The sequence below is a fragment of the Homo sapiens genome, chromosome 18, assembly GCF_000001405.40.
Source record: "Homo sapiens chromosome 18, GRCh38.p14 Primary Assembly".
Taxonomy (NCBI): Eukaryota; Metazoa; Chordata; class Mammalia; order Primates; family Hominidae; genus Homo; species Homo sapiens.
Genome location: NC_000018.10, coordinates 75,893,691 through 75,904,995, shown reverse-complemented (window position 1 = coordinate 75,904,995; position 11,305 = coordinate 75,893,691). Strand labels below are relative to the sequence as shown.

Genomic DNA, 11,305 nt, shown 5'->3' with positions numbered 1-11,305 from the left:
CAGGGCCTCTTCCTGCAGTGAAAGGGGAGCACTGTGAAGGCGGGGTAAGGAGAATGCGCCGTGGCCCTGGTGCCGGGGACAAAGCCTGACTCATGCTCTGCCTGTTTCCTTCTCCTTTGCTTGCATCCTCAGTGATAAATTGGTGCATAACCAGGCTTGGCTTCTGCCTATGCATCCCTTGCACTGGACAAGTTGACACACTGATGTCTTATTGACGCATAGAACCGCGGAGTTTCAGAGGTGGGAAGGACCTCAAGTCATGAAGATTCTGAAGCCCACTCACCTTTGTTAAGCTAAGACAGAGGAGCGAAGTGGAATCACCATGGCGGCCACACTCCTGGCCACGCGCTGCCCGCACTCGGGCGAGTGCTGCTGCCACCACGCAGAAAACCCAGCCTCACCTGCGGCCCTGACGCCTGTGTTTTGTCCCTGACTCTGCCCTGACTCTGATCCTGCCTTCTGGGTCACTCAATGTGGATGCAGGGCAAAGTCTTCCAATGTGAACCCCATCCCTCTCCTCAGGTTGGATCTGCTTCTCCGCCTTTGACCTTCCCTGTGCTGAGGCCGGCTCCCCTTCCACCTGCCTCCTGTGGCCCCTGGGCTTCCTGCCCTGAACCTAGAGATGCCTGGCCTCTGCCATGTGCTGTGTCCTCTCACGGGTCAGTCTCCTGCCCCACTCCTGGCCTGTTCTGCTTCCTGCACCCACGACCCTGACTCTGGTACACTGCCACATGGGACCCTTTGTGAAATATTTGTAAATCTTATTTTGGCTTTCAACTTGGGCCATCAGGAACATCTCTTCCCCCCATGAAACTCCACTCGGGATAATAGGATGTCCTTTGTTGTTTCTTCTGCTGGGGCCATGTTAGCAGGAAAGGGTAGGAAGGGCCGGTGGCCAGATATGATTCCCAGAGATAACTGGAGAAGCAGGAAGCAGTCCCTGGGAGCAGATCTGGGTGCTCTGTGAGGACTCCTTCTGCTGGCTTGTTTTGTTCACTGTTTTCTATTTTTTCTCTTGTAGTGCTAAGTTATAGCATACAAGTAGATATTCAAGAATGCTTGATGGATTGCAAAATAAACTATCATAAGTGACAAAGCTGAAAGAATATCGTTTTCAGATACATAGCAGCTCAATTTATACATCAAAGCATGCTATTATGAAGTCAAACAATGGGGAAAAATGTATTTCAAATATGTTGGATCAATCAAATACGGTAGTATAAGACTCTCTACCTGTGAGGAGCTTAAAATATTGTTGAGGAGGTAAGACAGAGTTACAATTAGCAAATGAGATCATAACACATGGTATACGGGTCTATTACAGACTACTCTAACAAAGCCTCCAGAGCAGGGCACCCTTGCACCAGAAGCATGCAGGGGAGCGAGAGGCTTATGTGGGGGGCATCCTTGGGGGCCAGAGCTGTGCTGGGACCATTATCTCCTCTATTCCCTTCTGTCAGTCCTTGAGCAGGTTGTTGCTCCGGATCATGCAGCGGAAATGACAGAGCCAGACGTTTGGCCTCCACACTTACCACAACCCGAGAACCTAGCCTCGATGAGGAAAAGCCATCCGATGGTAATAAGTAAAAGACGGGTGCCCAGGTGTGGGATTCTCTCCAGCAAAGCACAGGTCATGACCGAGCGGCTCATACCATCAAGAACGTGCCACACAGAAGGTATTCCTTTTTATTTAATTCTGTACTTTTGAATAACTAATTCACTTTCTCTCTCTCAGAAGTGTTTAATTTATGTTAATTCCCAGTGTTGATTTTCTTCCCAAACCTCTCCCTGCTAAATCTTATCGTCTAGGCTTACTGCAACCAATTAAACACTCAGTTCTAAAGTAGGCTTTCACCTCTTTGGGTCAGCAGTGGCCTCCACTGGTTTCCATTGAATGGGTTGTTGGCCACGGGGTCCCACTCAATTGTGTGTGAAGTTGGCTTCTTATTGATTCATGTATTTCAACTTCTGGTTGTTGGTAATTCTTTGGTTTTATAGAACACACAGACAAAATTCCAAATGACCTATGCCAAGGGGTTTCTGCAAGGGGTGACTCTGATGTAGGATTTAGGACCTGCAGCCAGGAAGGTTCCTTTTCTGGGGTAGAGTAGGCTGGGTGGTAAGAGACAGGGCTTTCTCACTTGTTAGCATTATAGCTGCTGCAAGTGTACACACGCTGTCATGGAACATAAAAAGCCAAGGCCCCAGCCCTGAAGAGTTTACAACCTAAGTCAGACATAAAGGAAATGGCAGCAGGCCGTAAAAATCCCATTTGTGTAGATATGACTGGCACAGAGGCCTAGAGGCTGCATTGTCGAGGGAAAGTTTCAGGAGAGATTTACAGGCCAGGGGACTACATTTGGTGGGTAAGAAAGTGGGATGCTGCTCAGAGAGGTCTAGAGAGTAGCTGAGAAGGCGTAAGTCAGGGCAGGAATGAGCTCAGGCGATAGACCCAGAATTCAAAAGAAAGTGCTGGATGTGACTTGATGTGACAACCAAATAAATTATTCATCAGCACGTCCACTATAAGATGTTCGTCTTTCAAAATGGGATTTCCCCAAAATGACTTTGCCAAAATGCCTGACCATGGGGACTCCAGCCTGTTTGTCCTAGTTTCATTTGTCCTGCTAAAACATCATATGATGCTGGAAGAGAAATTAGCACTCTGACTTTGTTTCTTTCTTCCTTGTTACCGGGACCGCCAAAACTTGTATTGATGATCTAGCATCCAAAAAAATGAAACAAACACCCTTGGTCCCTCGAGGAGCTAACGGCTGAAGACTCCATGTCTATCGGAACAATCAACACATCCCTTGATTAATATTATAAAACATTCTTCACATGTGCATTGATGCAGTATTTATTTATGTATGTATTTATGTATTTATTTTGATACAGGGTCTCAATCTGTCACCCAGGCTGGAGTGTGGTGGCATGGACATGGCTCAGTGCAACCTCAACCTCCCAGGCTCAAGTGAACCTCCCACCTAAGCCTCTCAAGTAGCTGAGACTACAGGCACACGCCACCACACCCGGCTAATTAATTTTTTTTTTTTTTTTTTGTAGAGATGGGGTTTTGCCAGGTTGTCCTGGACTCAAGTGATCCTCCTGCCTTGGCCTCCCAAAGTGTGGGAATTACAGGTGTGGGCCATGTTGCCCAGTCCGGTCATTATTTTTGAGTCATTGGAGTTACTGGCCAAGAAGAATGTTGAGTGGTCTGTAATGAGGAAGTAAGACAGAGATGCAACATAAGGAAAATTCCATCTCTACACACGCCTCCCGTGCAAGGTGCTCAGGACAGGAAGAGTGTTGGACGTTTTGTGGGGTTGGCAGACTTCCTCTGAGAACACCCTACACCCAAGATGGAGAAAACAGCTCCCTGTGCTTGGAGAGCCTCTGAGGTTAATGCTGCTTCACTCACACCAGACCCCCTGGCCCCACCAATCAGGGGACTGTATTGAGCATTGACAATATCTATTACATTTTCTTCTTATAATGAAAGCAGCAGAAACCCACCTTAGAAGAGGTGAAAATTAAGGGGGAAAACCAACTAAATCCCAGCACTCAGGAATAAGGACCGTTAACATTTAAGTGCATCACGCTTCTATGCAAGCTTCTGTATTTTTTTTGAGCTAATATACTATCAGCGTTGAAATTCCTTTCACCATCTGGTTTTTAATGACTGCACTGTGTCCTTTTGATTTATTAAAAGAAAGAAAAATCAATATACATGCAGTTTGTAATTACCAAAAAAAAAGCAAACCTCTCCCGTGGTCTTCAGATACCTTCGACTCCCTTCGACTCCCTCCGTGTTCATGAAGGGCAGTTTTCTTCAGGTGTCTGGAGCGCCCTGGCCGGGAAGTCTCAGCACCTTCCTCTGCTGGAGGCTGACCCTGTATCCCTCAGCATCTGTGCCTTCCAGGCTGGCTGCTGTGGGGACTCACAGGTCCCTATGAGCAAGGCCAGCCCCACCTTTGTATCCTGGGCTGAATGACAAGATGGGAAGGCTGTGGGATGGAAATTCTATGTGGGCCAGTGGAAGACACGCCTTTGCCCTTCCCTTCCTTCTCTGCTTCTTCCTCTCCCCTCCAAGCTTGGGACCACCCTCTCTTGACAAGTCTAGGGCTAAATTGAGAAGTGAGGCCTGAGGGCAGTGGGGGCTGCAGAAACCCTGACCTTGTGGTCTAAGAGTGGAGAGAAGGCAGGTTTCTTCCAGGACTGCAGGTTAGCAGCATGGTAGGAGGCCTGGACAGGCACTTTTGAAAAATCTTTCCATATGAAAAAAATTCTTGAAATGTCTCCACTTTTTCTTAAGAGTTTATTACTGCCTGTCCCGTTTTGGGGTGATACGTTTTCACTTCTATTGAATTCTGTGGCTATGGATTTTTTTTTTTTTCTGAGTTAAAAGAATGTCTTTGTTTCCGTTCTCTACAATTTTGCCCTGTCTTTGGATATCTTTAGTCTTGGCTGAGCTTCATGTTTGGTGAAATCTTTATAGACACCTCAGGGCTCCATTTTCTTCAAAATTTCAATATTTGGAGAACACATGACTCCGTATTTACACCTAATGCTGGAGTTAAGTTTGCTTTCCTGTCTGTACAAGAATGGGCTAAACAATCAACATCCCATTGTCTCACATCTCAGAGATTTTATTCCAATTAAATGCATCTTAGCCATACCTTCAACTTGTTGAAATTTATTTCTCTGAAATGTATTTTCCTTTTCTTTACTAATGTCTTTCAAATTGTGAATTTAATTTTCTCTTGATAACCTCTAACATGATTTGCATACTGGCAACTAGTTCTTCTTTGAAAAACAAATAGACAAAGGATCAAATCCAAAGAGTTCTCTGTCTTTTCTCATAAGAAACTGTTCACCAAACTACTTCAAGAAACTGTTTGACAATCTGTGGTTCCCCATTTGGTGTTTCATTTCTGTTAGTTGACCTTATTTTTACCAACAATCTTTTTCTATAAAGGGCAAGGTAGTAAACATTTCAGTCTTTCTGGGTTGTATGATTTCTGTCACAACGATTCACTTCTGCCACCTTAATATGAAGTAGCCATAAATAGTATGTAAAGGAATGAGGGTATCTGTGTTCCAATAAAACTTTATTTATAAAACCAGGCAGTAGGCCAGATTTGGCCCATATGCCTAGCATGCTGACCCATCTTCAAACCAATAGATGTTCATATGAATAACCAGAGGAAGTATTTTACTTTATTCTGGTCTTATTGAGGTGTACACAGTCCTAAAACATTAGAAACAACCAAACTCCATCATTGTAGAAGTGCTTTACCTGAGCATGAATTACCCATGCCGGCATGGGTTGTAAGTGATGCAGCTGGACTCCAGCCTGCGTCTCATCTCAAGCAACTTAGTGAACTCAGTCTGCTATGTGTCTCTATTTGTAATAATTTTAGGAGTAGCTAAGAATCATCAACTTATTATAGATTCTATTATAACGCCTACTTTTTCTCTTATCTTTTCCAGTTTTTTCTGGTCCAGTAGCTTCTTTCCATTTTTCAGGTGTTGAAGGAAGTGATACTTTGCTTTGCTTTATAATGTTAATTGTAATTATTTAATAATAACAATATTTACTAGGTTTGCTTTGAGCTCTCATTTTGTTTCAGGCATTAACCTGTAAAACTTGGCTCTAATTCTTATAATGATTCTACAAAGTAGGCAAAATTAGTTTTTTGTTTTTTTGTTTTTTTCCCCAAATAGGAACACTGACATTCAGAGAACTTAGTTTCTATCTTGAAATCACACAGCTTTGTACATGGCAACTTCCACACATGCTTTTTTCCATGCCCATTGTTTTAAAATTCTTGAAGGAATAGGCTACTTTTTCAGTCCTATCAGTCATATCGCCATCTCTCACTTTTCAGATCAAGTTAGAGCAGTGATCCTGAGTTAAGCTCCTCAGTTCCTATTCCTTATTTTTCAGGTCTATAAAACCAAGCCACGGAATACAGCCCATCTACAAATACTGAAGTGATGCTGTTGCTGTGGATATTTATGGAAAATAGATATTAGATGATAAAAGGACACCTAAGCAGCTGCTGAGTGGCGAGCCCAATAGAACAGCTGCAAACAGGGTGGAGTGAAAGAATCCCTCCCGGGACTGTTGAAGAACAGCTTCCCATGGAAAGCAGCATGATTGGGCACTGCTGGGACCAGCCAGGCACAGAGCAATCAGAACTGGGTGGTTCTTTCAGTGTAGAAGAAGCCAGCAGACATGAATCTAAGAGATAGAAATGTCAAAAGTTACAAGCAGTACAAATAGTGGCTGTAGTTGTCGACCAAGGAAAAGTCTTGACTTGTGTTAATGTGGAAAGAATTCGGAGCACCAAATATGCAGACATGGATTAAACCAAGCTAAGCTAACACAGAACAGTAGCAGCCACAGAAAAACACCTTCAGGTGCATCCTTATTGATCAGGAAGGACTATGGTATTAACACTCTGGAATTACTGAGTGGCATTAGACTTCCTTGTTCCCCAAAGATTTACCTTTTAGCTGAGGAGGCAGGGCATATATCCAAGCTCCTTAGAATTCTATAGCTGTATTTCCAGAAAGATGGCTCTCCTCTTATGCCTTTGACTATGTGTCTGTTTCTAATCTCAATAAAGGGTTTTCTTTCTTTCTTGTTTTTTTTAATTTCATTTTATTTATTTACTTATTTATTTTGAGATGGAGTTTTGCTCTTGCTGCCCAGGCTGGAGTGTAATGGTGCAATCTTTGCTCACTGCAACCTCCGCCTCCCAGGTTCAAGCAATTCTCCTGCCTCAGCCTCCCTAATAGCTGGGATTACAGACACCCGCCATGATGCCCAGCTAATTTTTGCATTTTTAGTAGAGACAGGGTTTCACCATGTTGGTGAGGCTGGTCTCGAACTCCTGACCTCAGGTGATCCACCTGCCTTGGGCTTACCAAAGTGCTGGGATTACGGGCGTGAGCCACTGCACCCGGCTTTTTTTTTTTTTTTTTTTTTTTGCTAGAATTGAAGTTTGGTAATTTCTCTGGATGTTGGATTTCTTTGTCAGTTGGACGCTTTTACTCCATGCCAGACGAAGAGGGTCCTTGACTTTATCCAGTCTGTCTTTGAAGAGCATTTCTTACCATCACAGCAGGTAAGAAAACTGTGAGTGAAGGAGAGTTGGAACTGTGAATTTTGTCAATGCTGAGTCACTCTATTTGCATCATAGAACACAGTGGGTGGCTAATAATTGCAATGTGAAAGAAGAAAACCTAACATATTAGACAGGCAGTGTGCATACCTGACCCAAAGCTCCCACGACGGCCTCATTTGGGGGAGGCATTGATGTGGCGCCTCGGCCCAGCTGGTTTTCACTGGCGTTAGTTTGAGCCTCTCAGGAAAGACTTTCAACCACTCAAATCAGTTATCGCTTCAGTCCATGTGCTGTTAAAATCCCTCTCATGTTGGCAAAAAAATCTCTGCTCAAGTAAACTGTTACATCACTAATTGCTAAATATGACATTATCAGATTGTTTTGACTTCCTGGGGGTAAGGGTAAAGGAAAAAAGTTAATTATAATTACTTTTGTCTCTAACTAATGGAAAGCAGTGTTAACATCTGTGCGCTGCCTGCTAGAAGGTTGGCAGTAATCCCCCCGTATTAACCAGAGTAGAATAGAATGACCCGATGTGTGGATGGCATTGCTGTACCTGAATTTTCCCAGCAGCTAACAAAATAGGTCTCTTTCACTAAAGACTAATTTTCACATTAAAAAAAAAACTTTATTATGGGCCTAGTGCAGTTAAATTGCCTGACACAGTAGGGAATCTATACTTAGGCTGGTAATATTAAGCACTGAGAAAATGCCTCAGGTGATGATCAAGCTGAGTGGTAATTCAGACCCCGGATAATTCTCTTCCAGGAAAATTCCACCAGGTGGCACAAAACGTCTCAGAGTGCCACTGAGCATGCTCTCTCTCTGGACCACAGGGAAGTGGGAAAAAGATACAGAACTGCCAAGGTGATCTCATCATAGGTCTCCACGGTGCTTTCCAAATGCACGTGTCCCTCCTCACCTTCAAGTGCTTCTTAAAAACAAAACGTAACTATGTGACAGTGTAAGCTTTCTCTATACATATAGTGAACTTTATCCTTTGAATAATGGAAAGGACTAGTTGGAAAAGGTAAATAAAGCGGTGTGGGAAGAGGGGAAAGAAGAGGAAGGGAGACTTACAGGTGCCAATTCACCAAACTTAAAGGCAGGTTTATTAACCCGGCGGCGGCCAGTTCTCGTGCCGTGGCCTGAGGCTTTAGAAATCTTAATACAAAATGTTTCTGTGAGTTTAAACGCAGGATTATTCACACAAGTTGTAAATGTTCTCACATGTTGAGAAGTAGTAGTGATTATAAAGATTTGTAAATTTTAACTGAAGCCAAAATGGCCGATAATCAAAAACTAGGGTAAGATTTTATTTATAGTGGAATGAAATAAATTGAGATGGTTTTATTTGCTCTTTATTCTGCTACCACCTCTTAAAATCTAGCCTAATGTTTGCCCAGCATTGGGAGTAAATATGTAGTAGAATGGGGTGTCAATTACATAATTGGATATACATTGCTATAACATGCAATCCCATGAGATTCCTAGCCTGGAGGGCCATGGAAGAGTGGTTTGGCTCTAGAACTACGGAGATGGGCCTCGGAGTGACCTATGGGACTTTTTCAGTTTGCTCCTGCCAGTCCCCAACCTCAGAAGCACTGACTGGATATGTCTATGGAAGGACCAAGCTTATGTATCTTGAAAAACTTCCCAGATGATTTTCATGTGTCTTCTAATTAAGAGACTTAGACTGCAGTGTTTAGTTTCCTTTTATGATAAACAAGGGTGGGTGCCCAAGAGCTCCATTCTAATAGGCTCTTACCAAGAGCCAGAGAAAATTAATAACCGCGCGTTGGTCTTGGAAGTAACCCAGTGAGTGTCTCTTTCTGTACAACTCTTTGCTCCTGCTCTGAAGAAGGAAGACAGCAGAATCATAGGAAGTTCCAGGTATCCTTCAGTGTCACCTGTCTCTAAACATAATGAGGGAATAAGATACGTGTGTACATGTAAATCTAACATAAAAATTGCTCCTAAACTGGACCTTGAAAATGTGAATTTGAATATTTTGGGTAACAAGGAAACGAGAGCACAGATGCAGGTACATAAAATTAAATTATGCTGAGAATCAATACTTTGTTCATTTTAACTGAAATGTGGGTGATATGAAGGGAAGTTAAAATGAATCAGGTCTTAAATTTTAGACTAAGATTTTTGAATTGTATTGGGTGTGAAGCCAACAATGTTTCCAATAAAAAATATAACATAATTAGTTGTATGTGTTAGAAGTTTAGCTATGGCAGCTGTCTATAAAATGATTTTGAATGAGAAGAGCCTGAGTTAAAACTTACCTTTTATTGAGTCCTTTCTGGTGCTAGGCTTAGCAATAGGTACCAATTTATGTTCAGTATTTTACTTAAAACGTATAATAACCTTGTAAAGTAGGTATTATCCTTCCTATTTTTAACCACAAAATTGAGGCTTAGAGAGTTTCTCTATCCTAATTTGCAATTTAATGGGGGTGGAACAGGGATTAGAAGCCAGTTCTTTCTGACTTCAAGATCCGTAAGCATGATGATTATATTGCGTCATCTTGAAATGCATGTAAGGAGACAGTACAAAGGCGATGAACTGTAATAGAAAATAATTTCATGAGAAAACATGATTCCTAGGAAAGTTTAACAGACATATTTTCTGTATGAATTAAGTGACAGAAATTATATTGGGAGCAAAAATCAAAGAGTTCTTTTTTGAGATGGAGTCTCACTCTGTTGCCCAGTCTGGGGTACAGTGGCGTGATATCAGCTCACTGCAGCTTCCACCTGCTGGGTTCATGCGATTCTTGTGCCTCAGTCTCCCAAGTAGCTGGACTATAGGCACATATCGCCACACAAGGCTAATTTTTGTATTTTAATAGAGACAGGGTTTCACCATGTTGGCCAGGCTTGTCTTGAACTCCTGACCTCAAGTGATCTGCCTGCCTCGGCCTCCCAAAGTGCTGGGATTACAGGTGTGAGCCATCACACCCAGGCAAAAATCAAAGAAATTTTTAAAAATCCAGACTTACATAGGACCAACATTACAAGTAATTTGTCTAGCGCATCTCCTGGCATTGGGTAAAAGCTGTTATACAAACACACTCAAGGACCTTCCATGTTCTTATGCTTCTGTTTGGTCTGGTATTTTGGCTCCTGTTTTTCTTGAACTCCTGAGCTACAAAAGTTACGTTTGGAGAAAGTCTCACTATAATCACCTCTCAATTAAATAATATCATTTAATGTAAGCTCTAATAATACTTGACAAAGGTACTAAAGAAGAAAAGCTATTACATTTACATTTACCTAATACCTCATTTTGAAATTAATGGATATTCAAGTCATTAATTAGGGAGACACTGCGTTGTTACAGAGAGAGATTCTGACCTCTGGTAGAGCACACTGGCCTTGGTTTCCTCATCTGTAGGAAGGGGCTGATCATATTTATTTCATTGGGTTTTTCATAGGGATAAATGAGAAAATATACAGTGGAGATGTGCCTGGCATTTGTCAGTATTTGGTCAGGTGTTAGTTTCCTTCTACCTTTACATTTTCTTGTATTGAACACGCATCTCACTCTTCTCTCCATATGTTCTTTCAGCGTCTAGAGGTAGGAGTATGGCAGATGTGTGGCATTTTTGTCTTGTTACCTTCATGATTGGTTCATCAATTCATTCGTTCAGTGACGTATACTGGCTAGCTCCTTCATGCAAGGCACTGGGGCTCAGAGATGAAAGGCAGGTCCAGAGGCAGAGCTGGGCACGTGCGTTCTGTGTCATGTTAAGAGAGCGGTGAGCCATGGCGAGTGCTGGAGGATGACCTGGCACCATGCACAGGCTCCTGGAAGACACTGTATGAAAGGGGATGTCTGATTTGGGTTTCAAAGAATGTATACGACTTCTTCACAAGAGAAGAAAGAGGCCAAAAATGATATTCCAAATAAAGAAACTTTAATTCTTGAACAAGAACACACATCTTTGCATGAGAAGGGGAACTCTCTGATACACGTTTTGATGCTGACATCCCGTGACTCCTCTTTTTCTTGAGTTCCTTCTCAGACTAGCATTGCGCCAACTAAGAAACTCTTGCCATTTAATTAAAGCTCCAGAAACTAACTTCAGTTTACCAGTCTGGCCAACTGCTGTAGATAGCAGCACTTTCTACTCTGCTTTTTTTAAGCAGAGTAATAAA

General features: G+C 42.5%; 1 annotated feature.

Moving 5' to 3' along the window:
* Positions 319-820: an enhancer, noted in NCBI's record as "H3K4me1 hESC enhancer chr18:73616131-73616632 (GRCh37/hg19 assembly coordinates)". NCBI's record gives its function as "activates a minimal SCP1, AML or CMV promoter by ChIP-STARR-seq in naive H9 embryonic stem cells {active_cell/tissue: H9 hESC(naive)}" and the evidence as "EXISTENCE:reporter gene assay evidence [ECO:0000049][PMID:30033119]".